The following is a 17,799-nucleotide window of genomic DNA, read 5'->3' as shown; positions in this document are numbered from 1 at the left end:
GGTTCTCTGTACAGGTGCAGCTGAAGGGGCTTGGGGGCTGGTTATTTCCCAACAAGGGCCTGAGTTCAGCCTTGCAGGTGGGTCTGTGTTGGGAGAGCCCGAGTCTGACTTTCAAGGTGTTGAAAGCTTGGAAATGTTTAGTCCAGCCCTGCCATGACTTGCTGGGACCTGGGCCCACCTCTTCTCCCTGGTCTCTTCCCTCCCAGAGCCAGATTTCAGTGGATGAGAAAGCGCTTAATGCAGGGCCTGGCAAGAGCCAGTGTGTGCTGCAGTGAAGGTGCTGGGACCACCCTGTCTCCCAGGAGGTGGTGGGACCAGCAGACTTTTCTTCCAAACGTATCAGAGCCAGAGAAGAGCCTTTAAGAGGACAACTGCTCTACTCCCTGGTGCAGAGACCCCTCAACCCAGAGGAGGAGGGGGCAATCCCAGATCTCCCAGTGAGCCAAGCTGGCCAGACCACCACCACTGGCTTTAGGGGTATCCCCTGCCCACGAATGCCACCAGAGTGAACCAGATGCTGGGGTCCCCTTGGTAAAGGACAGTGTCCGCTCCGGACTCAGGGTCATCCCTTAACACACAGCTGAATGGAGACACGAGTCGGGCTTAAAATAGCTAAATAAATCTTTAATATTTCTAATTGCAAATGTACAGAAATTGCACAGCCACACAGAGTCTTAGAACACCAACAGCTTCCTCTGTACATTATTACATAGTTAAAAGTCGCAGCTGGAGGGAGGAGCTCCAGCCCAAACTCCAACGTTTGCATTTTTTCCTTTTCACATACTTACAAAAGAGGGGAGCTGGGACGCGGTGTGGGAGCTGGGGGGCTTTGTGGCTGAGTGTGTAGAAAAGAGAGAGGCTGTTTCCCTGGACAGTCTGGCTCCCGCAGTCGTGCGGGGCGCAGGGGGAGGTGTACCTGGGGCAGATGCTCTGGGGGACCGGGGCGTGTGGAGCTGTAGCCTCGGTCCTCCACCCCCACTTTCTGGGCAGTCGGAAAGAGTCCTCACTGACAGGAGGTTTGGCAGTTTCCATCACCCAGAACATGGAAGTTAAGCAAAAAAGTCAGTCAGGCCTCTGTGCTAGCAGGGAGGGCGTGGCTTTCTCCAGCAGAGGCTGAGTCTCGGTGACCAGGGGGCCCCGGGGCTGTTCTTCCCCAGCAGGGACTGTCCTTCCCTCCAGGGCCTCTGGCAACCCCAGCCCTGGCTGCAGGCAGGGCCCAGCTCCCGGGAACTCAGGTTCTCTGTGGCCTGGGCAGGAGCCCCCCGTTGACTGGCCCAGTGAAGGCACCCCAGTGGCCACTACTCAGACAGCAGCTGCAAAGCCAACACACAAATGCCACAGGCAGGGAAGACACCCCCCGCAGACACCAAGCCTTTTCCTCCTGCCCAATACTGTTCTCTAGATTCAGAAATAAAATAAAACCCTTGGGAGAGCAGCAGTCCCGGCCAGCCCTCGGCAGCACCAGGACCAAAGGATATGTACAACCATTAGGTGAGATAGTTACATTACAGTCAAACACCAAGAACATTTACAAAATCGGCAGACTTGCAATTAAGATAAAAATCTGTGAAGAGTCTGTACACTTTTACAGTTTTTGCACTAGGTAAATAAGGCTCTCGGCCTGAGAGCTCACCCACCCTGCAAGGGCAGCTGGCACCGGCCACAGCGGGTAGCCTCCGAGCCCGCCTGTCCAGGCCCCGGGAGCCTCCCTGTATTGCTAGGGGGGCTCTGTCCGAGGTCACTCTACGAGGCAGCGGTGGGAGGGGGCTGGGGAGAGAAGAGCAGGGCTCACTGGGCAATGGGAGGATGAGACTGGAGCCAGGCCCTGCCTGTGTGGCCACCCTGGTCTCAGGCACGAAGGCGCATGGGTGGGGACAAGACAGAAGAGTGAGACAGGAAGGGGTGGGGGCAGGGCCTCTGCTTCCACCTCCCATCTTCCTGTGGTCTGTGATCCCTGGTGGCCCAGCCCTTCCTCCACCAGCATCTGTCTCTAGCCTAACTGAATTGTAGGTTACATCTAAAAGCCCCTTCCCAGAGCAGCCACTGTCACCTGTCCCCGAGCTCAGGGTGGACGCAGTATGGCTCTGGGCCACCCCTCCAGCACATCCACCCTTCAGGTGGGGCCTCTGTGGCACATTCCAGCTGCAGGGGCAGAGGGGTGATTCCTGCAGCTCGCCCTGCCCTGGCTCTGCTGGCAAAGGCCCCACTCCCACCCTTCTTACCCAGGGCCTTTGCTCAGAATCTGCAGGGGCTGGGAACAGACAGGGGCCGAGAGAGACCCAAGCTCCTGCTCATCTGTCTTGAAAGTGGGGGAGGGGCAGATAAGCTACAGAACAGCCTAGAGCTGAGGAAAACCGGCCCCAGCTGTGGGGTGCGCCCCTCCCCTGTATGCAGCGCCTGGGTCCTTGGCCGGGGGCCGGGAAGGGTGAGGAGGAGGCCGGCCACACACACGGGGCAGGTGCAGGCTGCTGCTGTCTTGGAGAGGGAGCAAGTCTAACATCCTCCAGGGCCGCTATTTCCCATGCAGTGCGCACGCTCAACTTAAAAGGCCCCTGTGTTCCAGCAAGCGAGCAAGCGGGCTTTTGTTTCTAATGCATACTGTGAAAGGAAAAAAAATCACAGTTATCCACCTTCTCAGGGCCTGCAGGCGTTAGAATCTTTTTTTAAACCATCACTCAGAGGAAGGATCACCTTTTCTTTCAGGGTGAGCACCAGGTGGCACTCCCTACAGGACCACTGTGCCCTGGGTGTGCTGGGCCCCAGGAGAAGGCAGATACAGTGCTCAGAGCCATCTGGCCAGATCCGCCCAGATCTCTGGCTTCTGGGAGCCCTAGAGCATCAGCCTGGGCCTGTGTGGGAGGTGTGGGAAGCTGTGGGTCCTCCCCACAGGGACAAGAGCTCACAAGAAAAAGCCATGGCCCTCACTGGGTCTATCTGGCAATACAACTAAGGCAGGGAAGAAGGTAGCAGGTGGTGCTCTGGGGACAGGTTCAGAGGGGGTGGGTGGGTAGGAATCCTCAGTTCCTCACAGCCAGGAAGGTCCCAACAGGCTGCATGCAGTGGCAGGTGCTTCGGATGGAGACAGGCAGGGGACACTGACCTCCTGCTCTGTGTCCTCCTATCTTCCTGCCTGCCAACTGATCTGCCAAGTGCCAGGTCCCACATGACAGGGCCTGGCTGCCAGGGAGTCCCGGGCCCCCCAAGGAGGCGAGGGGAAGCCACAGGTGTAGGCCCCTAGCCCTTGAATCCCCCCTCCAGGAAGCCCCCTCCCTGGCACAGGTGTGGGGGGACACATGCACTCGGCCAGATCCAGGAGGACAAGGACACACCACATTCAGGAACCAACAGACATATTTTTGGCAGGCCCCCTGCCCCATCAGGCTGTCCCCACTCCCCAGCGTGCAGTCTCTTCTGCCCGCACCCCACAGGGAGCGGCTGGTGACCTCGCCTCACGCTGCTTCAGTCTCTGGTGGCTCCCTCTGCGGCCGCCTCCTGGACAGCGGCAGGGAGGGGAGGCTCGGCCTCCTGACACCCGCGCTGGGGCTGCAACCGTGGGTGCCTCCCCAGGCCGAGACCCTGCCCTTGGCCACCATAGTCCCCCTCTCCTTGGGTAGCTTCCTCCCTCCTCAGGCAGGTTAACAATTGCTGCTGTTTCTGAACTCGCCGTTCTCAGTAATCTGCAATTTGGTGGGGTTGGTGGGGGAGATGCCGTTACGGGCTTGCATGCTGTACCTCTCTTTCAGCTGGGTCAGGGCACTCATGAGGCGGGCATTGGCGGCATCCAACGAGGCAATGCGCTTCTCCTGTGGACAATGGGGATGTGAGCGGGGGTCATGGGACAGGCTCCTTAGGGCTGTGTATACCTACGACAAGCATCGGGGAAGGGGGTGGCCTGGAGATGAGGGTGGCAGGCAGGCTCCGGGCTGTGAGCAGCTGGCAAGAGAAGGTAGGCAGAGGCCTCTGCAGCATCATGGACACAGCCTCGCTGCCTGCTTATCAGCCCAAATGCAGCAGCTCTAGTGCTGTCTATGGGCTGCCTGCGGCCCCTAGGGCAGGCACCCTTGCTCACATGTGTGTGCATGACACACCAGAGGTCACAGCTCCTGGTCTGTGCAGTTTACAGCCTGAGCAAGGCCCAGCCTACTCCTGGGTGAGTGAAAGGAAAGCGGTGCAGCCCTGAGTAAAGGAGGCTGGGGCCACAGAGCCTTTCACGTCTCCCCTCAATGCAGCCCGGATGCCATAGTTGTGAACGAGAGCCCCACTGCTCCCTCTGACCAGCCTGCCTTCACTCCTACCCCCACTGCCCTCCTGGTGGCTTCCACTCTTTGGTCAGCAGTCCTGGTGAAAGACAATGCCCGCCAAGAGCCCTGGCAGGGGAGGAGCTGCCTCTCTCCTTTCACAGCCTGTCCTAGTGAGCTTGTGGCCCACTAAGACCACAGGTCTGACTTCTCAGGGCAGATTCTGGTTTCTTATTCCCCTCAGTGTCTGCAGTGAGGTATGACTGAGGATGGAGAGGCTAGTCACCCCTCCTAATCCCAGGCCCTTTAACTCTTGTGGCTGACCAAAGGGCCGGAGCCCCCACCTGGGCATCAATGATCTTCTGTTTGGAGTCCACAGCCGCTTGCATCTCTGCGTGGTCCTTCTTCAGTTCTTCCTCCACGGACATCAACCTATAGCCAGAGACAGAGACAGTCAGACTGGCCCTGGAGGCAGCAGAGGTGGGGAGGGTGTGAGAACAAGCCCATCACCCCCGCACACAGCAGGGACACACTAGGAGAGCCCCTCCTTGGGTCAGAGACTTGCCTCCCATACTTGCCTGGGGCAGAGGCCCTCCAGCCGACTCCCAGCAACTGACACTGCTGGGCCTCCTTCCTCACCTCCACATCCCACACTCGCTGCTCCTAAAGCCCCAGAGGCCCCCGGGCTGCCCCTTTCCCGATGTTCTTCCAGGAGCCAAGATGGGTGGAAATGGGCATTAGATCTTCAAACCCCTAGAGCTAGGCAGGTGGTGGAAAGACGAAGGCCCTGAAAGGCTCTAGAACTTTTTCCACCCTGCCCCCGCCATCTTCACAAAGTTGTACGCGAGGTGCCAAGATGAATGAACTCTAGTCCTTTCCCTCAAGGAGTTCACAAGGCAGGAGGCACGAGTAACTAACTACACCCTGCACGGAGCAGCTGCGCTAGTGGAAAGCTCAGGTCCCTGGAACAAAGAGCAGGAAGCAGTGACGTTCCCTGGAGGGTGGGCTGGGAGGTCGCACATCAGTAGGAGACATCTGAAGGACAGGTGTGCAGGCAGAACAATGAGCAGTAGCTGGGGGACATACCACCCGCGGAAGCTCAGTGGGCAGGAGGCCGGCTCCGTCCTGCTGCTCCCTGCCTGGGAGCCCTCCTGGCCCCACCTGGCTGGTTCCTGAGACACTCTCACTGCTGGGCACTCCCACCTTCCCACTCTCCTTTGGCTTTGAGACCCCACACTCTCTGGGTCTGCCTGTCTCCTAGATGCCTTGTCCTGTCTGCCTCTGGACATGGGGGTCCACAGGGCTTTGGCCTCAGCCTCCCTTCTCCTTGCTCCACACACTCTTAGATGAGCCCTCCACTCCCAAGGCTTCTCTCCATCCCTGCCCTCTTGATTCCTCCAGCCTAGAGCAGCCACCGCACACTGGGCAAGCACTTAGCCCACTCACAGAAGACACACAGGGAGCCACTGTGCCGGGGCCGGTTCTGCACGGGACTGTAATGGGGGCAGCAGGGCAGCAGTTCAGGGAGCACTAACTGGGAGGAGCGGTGGTGGCGGGGGGGACCCTCCGGGGCAGGTTCCCCAGTACAGGAAGGTATCACTCTGAGGAAAGCTTGTGCTGGGGGTGGGGTGGCAGGAGGGTATTTGTTTTATTAAGGAAAATTAGATTGGAAGGAGATTGTATTTACTCTCTTGTCTTAAAAACAAATAGGGCCGGGCACATTGGCTCACGCCTATAATCTCAGCACTTTGGGAGGCCAGGGAGGGAGGATCACTTGAGACTAGGAGTTCAAGACCAGCCTGGGTAACATGGCGAGACCCCATCTCTTTATTAAAAACCAACCAAACAAACAAACCAGAAAAATGGACACAATACAGGCAATGCAGTACAATAATTTCTAGGAGAACAGAAACCAACAAGGAGAGCCCAGTGAACGGCCTGGAAGCAGAGGGAAGGCGGAGTCAGCAGCCTCACTGAGTTGAGGAGACAGGCAGGTCAGGAAGGTCAAGAGGTGTGGGATTTGCAGGGCAGAAGCCAGAGAGGAGCAAGAGGCAGAGAGAAACTCCACATAGCTCCCGAGTGGGGGTTCCCCTTGTGTCTCTGACTGAATAATATCCGCATGCAGATGAGAAAATTACCAGGCTAGGCAAGAACCGTCAGAAAGGAGAACACGAAACAATCGCAGAAGCAGTTCATGTTGTACCAGTGAGAGTGCAGTGACGCACCAACACTGGGAATCACAGAGGACCCGGGGAAGGAAACCCCCTCAGAGCAGGGCCACGTTAGGCCAAGACTAAAGGCTCTGCAGGACGCAGCCTAACAAAACTTAAAAGGAAACCCTGAGAGGATTGAACAGATTCCAAGTAACCTCACTGTCTCCCAGAATAAAGCCCCCAGAAAGGATTTAAAGGAACACAAAAACATTCAGCACCTCACTGTGAGATTCACAATGCCTGGCATCCAACCAAAAATTACCAAGTATACAGAGAGAAGTAGGAAAACTCATAAGCAGGCGGAAAATAAATCAGTAAAAACAGACTCAGATGTCACAGATGATAGAATTAGACAAGGACATGAAAACAACAAGGTATTATAAATATATTCTACATGTTTCAGAAAACAGAAGTAAAAGCACAATGAGAATTAAAACTGATGGAATTTAAAGCAAAATGAAATTCTAAGAGGTGAAAAATATAATTATCTGCTGTGAAAAAATACTGGATCAGATTAATAGCAGGTTACACACAGAAGAAGAAATAATTAGCAAACTTGAAGACATAGTCATAGAAACTATCAAAGAGAAGAAACAGAAAAAAAATGAAGAAAGAAGATAACAGAGCATCAGTGAGATACGGGACAAAATGAGTCAGCCTAATGCACGTGTGCTAGGAATCCCAGAGAAAGAAATGGGGGGAGGTGGGACTGCAGACATACAAATCCAAGACCCAAGAAATTAGAAGAAAACCACACCAATGAACATCACAATCCAACTACTGACAACCAGTGATTTAAAAAAAAAGTATCTTATAAATAGCCAGGGAAAACAGATACATAAAGTACAGAGGAACAAAGACAATGACAGACTCCCTGTCATTACAGCCTCAGGGTGAGGGCCAAATCTGGACCATTGCCTGTTTTTGTAAATAGCCATCTCACACAAATAGTTCTGCTGTAACAGCAGAGCTGAACAGTTGCAATAGAGACCATATGGCCTACAAAGCCTAAAATACTTTTGATCTGCTCCTTTGTAGAAAGTTTGCCAATCCCTGCCCTAGAGCAACAAAGAGATAAAGCTAATAAGTCAATAGGAGAGAAAATGGAATCATAAAAAAATACTCAGTCCAAAAGAAGGCAGGAAAAAAAGAACAGATGGTACAAATAGGAAACAAGGCAACAGATTTAAATATATCAATAATTACATTAAATGTAAATGGTCAAAACACTCCAATAAAAAGGCAGAACCATTTAGACGAAAGCAAGACCCAATAGTATGGTGCCCGTAAAATAAACCCACTTCATATATATAGATGGGTGCTATGCTCTGAATGTTTGTGTCACCTTCTAAATTCATATGTTGACACCTAACCCCCAAGGTGATTGATTATCTTAATAGGTAGGGGTTTTGAGAGGTGATTACATCCTATGGGCTTTGCCTTCAAAAATGGAATTAGTGCTTTTATATTATACAAGAAGCCCAAGGGAGCTTGCTCACACCCCCTACAATGTGAGAACACAGCAACGGTGCACTATAATATGAAGCAGAGAGTCACTATACCCTGAATCTGCTGGCATTTTGATGTTAGACTTCAGAACTGAGGGCAATACATATTCTGTTGTTTATAAATTACCCAGTCTAAGGTACCTTGTTATAGCAGCCTGAATGGACCAAGACAATGAGTTAAAAGCAGGAGGATAAAAAAAGCTATACCATACCAACACGAATCAAAAGGAAGTTGGGGTGGCTACATTAATAGCAGACAAGGCAGATTTCAGAGCAAAGAATATTTCAAGGGATAAAGAAAGTGATTTTATAATGACAAAGAGGTTAATTCAACAATAGTACATAAACAGCCTAAATGTATATGCACCTAAGAATAGTTTCAGTGTACATAAAGCAAAAACCAGTTGGAATTAATTCAACAATAGTACATAAACAGCCTAAATGTATATGCACCTAAGAATAGTTTCAGTGTACATAAAGCAAAAACCAGTTGGAATGAAGGGAGAAATAGAAAAGCCAGTAAGGATATGGAATACTTGAACACTATCTACCTAACTGACATTTACATTAAGGAGGAAATATTCCAGGATTGGTTAGTAGAAACGAACGTGTTAAGCAAGTCTCTGAATTCAGAACATGCAAATATCAGAGAATACACACAATGTAGAGAAGGCAGTTAAATTGAAAAGCATTTCCATTCTTGGAAACACACACAAGGTGAGCCAAGAGCAGAGCTGGAGAACAAGTGAACAGCAGGTTTCTAGCCACCCTGGTTTCACTCATGTTAACTATTTCATAATGAACCAAACTACAAGTAAATGGAGCAAACAACAGTCAGGAACAGAGAAACAGGTGGTCTAAATAGGAGGAATCTGGGAAGGGCTTATGTCATAGACAAAACATGGAGCAGAGGCCTTCCTGGCTCTTGCACACCTGCTTGGTCTGTCCAGCTGATGGGGTCTTAGACCAGGCCAATTCAAACAAGACACACTGTCTCTCCTCCCGTGCCTGGTATTACTGAGAAGGAAGTAAACTCCACGACTGGGACCCTGGGGTTGATTGTACTCCCTGCCTGACACCAAGGTAGGGATGCCCTACCCATAGGCAGAGCCAGAGACAGAGATGGAGGCACCAACATGGGGCCTGACATAAGCCTTCAAAAAGATGAGAGTCAGCATTAAAACCCGCTGTTCCTCTGAAGCCCTTTCCCAGATAACCCAGGCCCCTTAAAACTCAGGATATCAGACTGGCACCATCCCCCTCTCCCTCCCCACTCAAACCACTCCTCTTAACAGTTCCCAGCTCAGTAACTGGTACCCTGATACGCCCACACCCAGACACTCTTGGTAGGAATCTGGGGGCTACGCTGTGTCTTCCACCTTCATCTACTATACGTAACTGAGACTCATTCCCACTTTTCTTACCCTGTATTGGGGTCCTCCCTGTCTTTCCTGGCACCCCCCAATCCAGCTTCTCAGCGCCCCTGAGAGTGCTTACTAAGATGGTATGGCTCCTTGTAGAGGCTCAGGCCCGTCGGGAGCCAGCTGTCATTGGTCCAGCCTCATCCCCAGCTTTGTATTCTGCATGGGCTGCCCACCCTCCAGGCCACCTCCTGCCTCCAGGCCTGTGCTCACGCTGCTCCCACTGCCCAGACACTCTCTTCCCTCCTCTCTCCACATTCAGCTTATCCTTTGAGGAGGCTCCCCGACCAGGGGCCTCCTCGAAGGCAGCGATGGCTGCCCTGCCTGTGCCTGTGGCCAGGCCAGGCAGGTGTGGGCCCCACCTGCTGATGATGCCCTTCATCTGGATGTCCTTGTCCTCCTGCTGCCGCCGCAGCCGCTCCTCGCCCTCCTCCAGCCGTGCCTGGTACTCCAGCACCAGCTTCTGCGTCGTCTCCTCCTGGCACTTGAACAGGGTCTCATACTCCTCCAGCTTCTTGGTGGAGATTCGCAGCTTGTCCTGCAGCACCGCCAGGTCCTACCAGGAGGGCAGCGTCCACGGGCACAGCACCCAGGACACAGAGAGCACAGCTTCGTCAGCCCGAGTGGGAGGAAGGGTAGGAGGGAGCCCCACTTGAAAGGCCCCAGTGGCTGTGACCCGCCCACTTCACATAGCAAGGAGATGCCCAAGGAGCCCAGCTGGTGGGGGCTGCAGCCAGACGCGTGCCTGTGCCCCACCGTGGGGCCTCCACTCCAAACTCCCAGCCTGACCTGTATGGCTACAGCGGGGATGAAGACTTAGACCCAAGTCCCAGGACTGAGGGTGTAACTAGGGCTTTGAACTTTTATATGACAAAGGTTAAAAAACCCTTGGATACATGAAGGACATGTGACAGCACCCTGAGAGGTGGGAGCTCTGCAGGAGGGGAAACTGAGGCCCAGACAAGGTGACCATGTCACATGAAGAGCGACTGACTAGCAGGGTAAGATCCCAGCTTCCCAGCCTCTGTTTGAATCTAAAGCCAGGGGGTGGCAGTGGCATGAGGAAATGGAGAGAGAGAGAACTGAAAGGCAGGTGGTCCAGGCTCTGGATCTGCCTCAGTCCAGCACAGACCCCAACCATCAGGGAGGAGCAGGGATGTGGACGAGGCTGGGAAGCGGCGTGGCTGCAGAGAGGAGTCAGGTGCTCTGCGCTGAGCGAGGAAAGGCCAACGCCGGGATCGAGAGGGGCCAGACGCCATGAGGACACAGGGATGCAAAAAGCCTGGAGTGAGGCCAGTCCTCCTCACTCCCCAGCCAAACTCTGGCTCTGGGAGCACTGTGTTCCCTGTCCCCCGGTCCCCTTCATGTAACTATGGTGAAAGCAGGTGGATGTAGCGGACCGGGGATGGTGGCGGTGGCAGGATGCAGCATGGAGACGGGCCTCGCCTGAGGCCGGGGAGAAGGAGTTCTGCCATTCTGACCCCAATACCCTTGCTCGAGAGGTTGCCACAGGCTTTCCTGGGGCCCAGCGGGGCGAGAGCATCCAGAGGGGAGTGGAGAAGCGCCTGCCGTTCTGGGGCCTGCGCTGGTTCCTCCGTCTACATGGACTGCAGCTGGCAGTAGGAGACAAAAACTACCCCCAGATCCAGAGCAGCTGCCACAGCTGGAAGGCTTGGGAGACCAACGAAGCATCCCCTTGCCCCAGCAGATGGCAGAGTGTGTGGCAGAGTGAGAGTTTCATTTTTAGAGTAGATTCTTTTCCCGGGGGTGGGGAAGAAAACATCTCAATGGCAGCCTGACCCCACCCCCCAAGCTGGTAACTGCTGTTTCTTTCCCAGGCCCTGGTGGAGACCAGAGGGGTGAAGAGCCAGGCCGTGGGCAGGCACAAGCCTTGGGGGCCAGGCTGGGGTGGCTCTCCCAGCCATCCTGGGGACCCATGCCTCTGCCTCCTCAGGTACCAAGTTCCCTCAGGGGGGCTTCTATATGTCACTTGGGCACCCTCAGCCCTCAACCCCCAGGTCCTCAGGAAGCTCAACTGCCTCAGTTGCCTGGGCTAAGGAGCCTTCCCAGAGGTCCCAGGAGTCTGTATCCAAGACAATTCCCTGGTGATTCCAATCTGCAGATGGGAAGCCTCAGGTCTAAGCTGCTAATCCATCCCTCTTGTTGCTTTTCTTCCAGACCCCACTGACTGCTATTCTCACAGGGAACAGGGGCTCAGAGGTGACGGGCCCTTCACAAGGACAGCAGCACCCGTTGCTGGGGGACCTGGGGGAGAGACTCCTACCAGCTGCTGCCGGGAGGCAGCCCCGCCCTGTCCCGAGCCGCCAGGGTCCAGTTTTACCTTTTCTGCTTGGCTGAGCTCGTCCTTACTCCTTAGCCTATCCCTGTGGGGGGGGTCTGGGCCCAGGCCCTCGTCTTCTAACAACTGCGCGTTCATGGTCAAGAGCCAAGCGGCTGTGCGGTCCAGGGCATTGGGGCTCACAGGTGAAGGGCCCTACAATGAAACACAGCTGTGAGGGGCTGCAGGGAGGTGGAGGGCAAGCAGGAGGGGCGGGAGTGGCCCAGGTGAGCCACAAGGACAAGCAACTCTGGGACACGGTGGGAAGAGGGGACCTCCAGCTGACTGAGCGCCTACCGAGGCAGTCCCCACCCGGGAACTGTCTCTCAGACGGCAGCCAAAGGCAGAGCTGACAGGTGCCAGGTGGCCTCCTGAGCACCACACTCTGCTGCCAAGAGGACAGTGAGTGACCCTGCCACTGGGGGCACCGGGGCAGGCTGCACTGAGTGGGGGACAGGGCCAGGCTGGGCTGTCAGCCCAAGGCACCTCCACTCCAGACACTGCCTGCAGCCTTTGGGTGACAGGGTCATCCATGCTCCAGGTGGTTGTGCCTGAAGGCCTGTCCAGCCTGTGAAAACATTTTGGGAGGGGCGTGTGGGGGCAGAGCTGGGTAGGCGCTTCGACAGGCTTGGAACCGAAGATGAATGCACTCTCCTCCTCTTTCTCTCTGACCCCAGCCTGCCCCTAGGGGCACTGACAGAGGAGCCTGGAGTTCCCCAAGGCTACAGTGTCCCTGGTTCACAGGATTCAGGAAGAAGCCAGGGGGAGGGGGTGGTGGCGCATGTGGCAGGCTGGTGGGATGGGATGGCAGCTGGGTGAGGGTGGAGGTGAAATGACCGAGAGGAGGAGCATGGTATGGGGTATGACAGCCCCAGCTGGGCCCAAGTGCCCAGCCCTGCCCTCTGACTAGCAGCACTGACCTGCTTGTGCACTGCCCGTGGCTTCAGTTCTGGGCTGTCCCCCTTGGAGGAAGAGGACTGCTGCCTCAGGCGGGTACTGGGGCCCACCCAATCAGGTGAGGCCGACGCCAGGGTTCCGCTTGAGGGTCTTGGGTACTGCAGGGTGCTCAGCAGGTTGGGGGGCGTCCGGCCGCGGGGGGCAGGAGGTGGCGGCGGGGGTGGGGGCGGAGGCTGGTCGATCCTCCTCTGGGGGCCAGCACTGTTCTGCCGTGGCACCGTGGGCTGCCCGCCTTTTTCAGTCAGTGACATCTGTCGCCGTGCCAGCTCACCGGGCCGCCGAGCCAGCTCCTCCGCGGCAGTGCTGAAACTTCCCAGCTTGGCAGCAGCCGCCAACTCCTCGCTGTTGCTGTGTGAGCTCAGGGAGCTGTGGCCCTCAGAGCCTGAGTCGCCAAGGCCACGGGGTGACAGCGGCAGGCCAGCCGCCATCTGGTACACAGGGTTCTGGAAGGAGAGCGGTGCCAACAGCTGGGGCCGGCCTGGCGCGCCCTCGGAGGTGCCTGGTGTGGTTGGTGTCTGGCCTGCCCGCCGCACCGTGGCCAGCCCTGCCAGGTTCACTGGGGTTGCCCGGGCCGGCCACCCGGCCACCAGCTGAGCTGCAGCGGCCTGCCCATCTGTGGGGAGGACGTCGGGGCCCGCCGGGGAGCCTGCCTCCCCATCCAGCGTGCGGGCGTCCTGGAGGTCCACCATGGAGAGGCTCTTGCCACCGTTGGCCATCTGAAGATCAGGCTCGTTGGCTTCCGAGTAACTCGAGCTGCGGGCAGGTGAGGGCTGGACCCCGGAGGACCTTGTGACAAAAAACAAGTCCTTGTTTTCGGGGGTTGGAGACGGTAACCGGGTGAAATCTATCAGACTGCAGGGAGACAAGCACACACAGGGAAAGAAGGGGAAAAGAAGAACTGTGAGTGCAGCCAAGGCGGGTCCAAACCGACAGCACCCGCCAACCTGCCGGGGCCTGGCAGCCTGAGCCAGCGCTGGGGAGATGGATGCGCTGGGGTGGCAGGAGTGGGAGAATCCGGGGACCAGAGGCTGAGGCGGCTGCTCCTGCACAGAACCTCTTCTTTAGGGGCCAGCACTGCACATTTCAGGCCGCGCTGCCTGGAAGACCCCTTCCCTGTTCAGCTGCATCTTGGGACAATGGGTACTGGGGCCTGGCTTGCTCTGGAAAACTCCTCCTTAGCTAAGCCCTAAGCCACAACTCAGTGGCTCTCTGCTATCCACGGATCCTGCATTGAGAACCCCAACTTCAGAGTCACTGGGTTCCCTCTGCCTCTTCCCTCTTGTTCCTAATCAGACTGGTAACTGAAGTGGGGGCCCGGTGAAACCTCCTCTTGCCCAGCCTCCTGCTGCCGCTCCCTTGTTTGACTGGCAGGCGGGGGCTGGAGTTCCTGGCAAAAACAAGGAATGAGAGCAGGCTCTGTGGAGAGCATGACTTGGTGGGAGGGCTGCACTTGCCCTGGCCTCCTCCTCATTCTACGCTTTTCTCTGGCCTCTCCCTGGCCCCTCCCCAGAAGCTAGCTCCTTGGAAGAAAGCACAACTGTGGCGGGGTCCAGGGGGGCTTTGGAGAGAAGAATGTGGGTGGGGGGAACTGAAGGCTGCAAGGACTTGGGGGGCTTGATATGGCTTGGAATGGGGAATGGGTTGGCTTAGCCTCAGACGGAGAGGAAGTGCCACTCCCTGAGATGGGCTGCAGTGCTCACGGGCCTGGGAGAACTGGCTAGAGCAGCAGATGAGCCAGGAAAGACGGAGAGCAGTGGGGGCCTGGCTGCCCAGGCCACACACCAGGTCAGTCTTTTCAGAACTCACGGGCCCGGCTGCCTCTCAGCCTCTCAAGGGCTGTCTACTGCACCCCCCACTCCAAACTCTTGGCATGTGACTCTGCTTGTCTTCACTTGGCACACTCACTGAACAGACCCAATGCAAGACTCAGTGGACCTGCATCTCTGGCCCCTCCTGGGCTCCCCTAACCCCAGGTTCTTGATCTCAGCACCCTCCCCTGCTTAAAAGCCTGCCCTGCCACCACCTTGGGGGAGACCACACTCCCAACTCTGCTGCTACAGCTGCGGCCTCACATGCTGGGGTAAGAAGGATCACTGGCGGGAGAGGGGAGAGTAGGGGTAGAGCAGAAATGCTTCAACATGAACTGATAGAAATGTCTCTATTTTGACTTAAACAAGAACATTTTGCCTTCCACTCTGCCGTGTGTGTCTTATTTAGGCAGAGCAGACCCCAGGACTGGGTCTCAGCATCACTTTATGTTTTCTGCTGTTCCCAGCCTCAAAGCCTGGCAGAGCCACCGAATTCCTATTGAAAACACCCCCAACTAAACACTTCTGGAGATTCTGACTCAGGCTCAGGAAATACCAGGAACATGTGTATTTTTAACAAATATCAGGGGATCTGGAAATGCTGGGGGTATTTGGGACCAGCAATTATTCTCTGACACATCATGTCTTTGCTTGTGCTTGTCCCTCTGTCTAGAATGCCTTTTCCACCAATGGAAATGCTACTTTTCCCAAAACAAAACAAACCTATAGCATCACCTCCTCTAGGAAGGCTTCCCTGATTTTTCCCAAATGGAGGTTCACCACTTAGGACCTGTACAACTCAAGTCTTGCCAGGCTTGTTTTATAAACACTATGTAGGCATCCTCTTTCCCCATCTGAGATTACAGATGGGCTGTGCCTAGTCTGCACACGCACCCACCACACCCAACATGGCTGGCAGCTCTTACCCGGAAAGATCGTTCTCAATCACCATCTTCTGCAGCCCAGCTGAGATGCTGCTGCTGCCAGAGCCCGGTGTGGAGGCCAGGTCATTGGTCCCTGGGAGCTGCCCGCTACCTGGGGTGCTCAGTGCTGTGTGGACGTCCCTCAGGATCCGAGGCAGGGGTCCCAGTTTGGATACTATGCTCTGTAAAGGCACAGCAAGAGGCAGGTGTGACCTCCTGGGACCACATGGGTAGGCTGTATGTGCTGCAGCCACTATGGCTCAAAACCACTGCGGAGCCTGTCAGAAGTGCAGATCCCCACCTGCTGCCAGTCAGAGCCACTGGGTCTGGGAGGGGGGTGAGCCCAGGAATCGGTAAATCTACATTTTTAACCAGCTCCCGGACATTTCTAGGGCAGGAGTAGGAGGCCCACAGTGGGAGACGCTGACCTAGTGCAAGCCTCTCCTTCAGTTTGCCCTGCCCTGGTGCCTCCGCAGAGAGGAAAGCACACATGGAATCCCAGCATTTCCACACCTCCACCTCTCCATCCAGAGGCTTCTGTGACAGCCCCTCTCACATCACTTACTCCACGGGATGGGCTGGGGCCTGACCCACCTTGGCACCTGAGCCCCAGTGGAGATGGTCCAAGCACACTGCAGGCACCCTCAGGTGCTGGTCAGGCAGAAGGCAGTGCCTGAACCCATCTGAACCTTGCTGGCACGCTTTAGAGAACTTAAGGGGCAGAGGATTCTAGGCTTTGGGGACACTGCCTTCACCTGTTTATGCACAAGCTTCCACAGAGGTCTCTGTGAGAAAACAAAGTGTGAAAACTCATGCAGGCAATAGAGCACGCAATTGAGAGGCAAACAGTTGAGTTTCAAATCCCTGTTGCACCCTATCACCGATGTGACAATACTGATCACCTTCCATTCTTCCTGCCTGGTTGTGCAGATACGTGGACAGCACAGGGGAAAGGTAAGTGGTGGCAGTGACAGTGACTAGTGTTGGCTGCAGTGCAGGGACTGGAACAGGTGGAATGTAGGGTCTCAGCCCTCATTTCCATTTCTCCCTCCTGTGTCTCTCACAGCCAAAGGCAAGTGGATACAAATGAGCAAAAATGATGGCCTTTGATTGCAACAGGACCTATTTCTAGTGAAAAGTCAGGACTAACCTAAGTGTCCATCAATAGGGGACTGGTGAAATAAATAGCATTCATACAATGCAGTCATTAAAAAGTCCCTGGGGGTGGTGGAGATTGCACTGACAAGCAAAGAGGCCCACAACACAGTGGTAAGAAATGCACACAGCAGCATACACAGTATGTTCTTGCTTTAAAACAAACTGAAGAAGGAAAAGAGCTCTATGTGTGTGCGCCTGCATGTGTGTGTGCGCTTACACATGCACAGATCGTGTCCAGAAGGCTGCATACCAGTGCTCTGAGCGGTCACCTCTAGGGAATGGGACCAGGAGGCATGAAGGGCCTTCCAGGCCAGTTTCAGCACCTTACAAAAGTAAGGTGGTCCCTTGGAGCCCTAGAAAGCAACAGATATTCGGGAAGTAGTTCCTGGTAGACCCAGCCCTTAAGTCCAAGAACTAGTTGCTCACTGTGTGGGCTGAGGCTGGGGGTCAGTGAAGTCTCGGGCTAGGGAGGGCTCACTTCAGGTGACTGCAGCAGTGTCAGAGGTGTCTAGGGAGTAACCTTGTCAACTGATGGTCAAGGGCAATCCTAGAAAGGTTTTCGACTTCCTGCTGGACAAGTGGAGGTACAGGGTCTTGAGTCATCTTCTTCATACAGGCGGATTCACGATCCAATTCTATTTCTCACATGCTCTGGCAGGCAGCACAGTGGCGCTTGTCCACTAAAGGCTGAGTGCATGCGGAACACCCCAGCTCTAGTACCCAGAGTGGGGCAGCCTTGGCAGATACTGCTGAGTGAACATAGCATTTGCCCACAGAGAAAATGGGGCCCACAGATCCCCAGTGTGTTCTGACAGGACCTGGCCTGATCATGCCACTTGGGCAAACTCTCTGCCCTCCATGGTTACTCTGGAAGGGGGAACACTAAAAGCCTGATGGCAGCTTTTGGCCCCACCTCCGCCCCACGGCAACAGGCACCTGCTCCAGCTGGCTGACGGCCTCCCAGAGCAGTGAGTGCAGGCTGGAGAGCTCGCGGCCCAGGTCGATGTAGCCCTCGAAGCCGGCTGTATTGGAGAGGGTCTCGGGGTTGGAGATCTCCAGCAGGAAGCGCTGCATGTTGGTCCACTCATGCTCTAGGAACTGGTTCATGAAGGACATGTATTCCTCCTTGCTGCCAAATCTGGAGAGAGGGCAGTTGGGTGAGCACTACTGGGCCCAGGCAGGCCCTGCCCAGGAACTCCCTCCACTGGGACACCACCACCCGCTTTCCCCACTAT

The 17,799-nt window shown here is 55.4% G+C and overlaps 1 protein-coding gene across 3 annotated transcripts in view, besides 1 other annotated feature; it reads right to left on the bottom strand.

Annotated features, from left to right (window-relative positions):
* Positions 1 to 603: 603 nt before the first annotated feature.
* The window catches only part of DAB2IP (DAB2 interacting protein), a 218,457-nt gene continuing 201,261 nt past the window's right edge, over positions 604 to 17,799 (bottom strand). The window contains exons 10-17 of one of the 3 annotated variants that reach the window (NM_032552.4): positions 17,501 to 17,702; positions 15,410 to 15,588; positions 12,639 to 13,527; positions 11,722 to 11,874; positions 9,743 to 9,936; positions 4,583 to 4,670; positions 3,733 to 3,803; positions 604 to 2,598 (exon numbers count right to left, since the gene is read on the bottom strand). In NM_032552.4, coding sequence (NP_115941.2) covers positions 2,589 to 2,598; positions 3,733 to 3,803; positions 4,583 to 4,670; positions 9,743 to 9,936; positions 11,722 to 11,874; positions 12,639 to 13,527; positions 15,410 to 15,588; positions 17,501 to 17,702 — 1,786 coding nt within the window. In that variant the 3' untranslated portion in view covers positions 604 to 2,588. Of the gene's footprint in view, positions 3,804 to 4,582; positions 4,671 to 9,742; positions 9,937 to 11,721; positions 11,875 to 12,638; positions 13,528 to 15,409; positions 15,589 to 17,500; positions 17,703 to 17,799 lie in introns of all 3 variants that reach the window. The other 2 variants (NM_001395010.1, NM_138709.2) reach the window with 2 other exon arrangements.
* Positions 3,550 to 4,539: an enhancer, noted in NCBI's record as "H3K4me1 hESC enhancer chr9:124543874-124544863 (GRCh37/hg19 assembly coordinates)". NCBI's record gives its function as "activates a minimal SCP1, AML or CMV promoter by ChIP-STARR-seq in naive H9 embryonic stem cells {active_cell/tissue: H9 hESC(naive)}" and the evidence as "EXISTENCE:reporter gene assay evidence [ECO:0000049][PMID:30033119]".

Source organism: Homo sapiens, chromosome 9 (assembly GCF_000001405.40).
Source record: "Homo sapiens chromosome 9, GRCh38.p14 Primary Assembly".
Lineage (NCBI taxonomy): Eukaryota > Metazoa > Chordata > Mammalia > Primates > Hominidae > Homo > Homo sapiens.
Note: the sequence above shows the minus strand (reverse complement) of the source record. Positions and strands in the feature narration are given on the sequence as shown.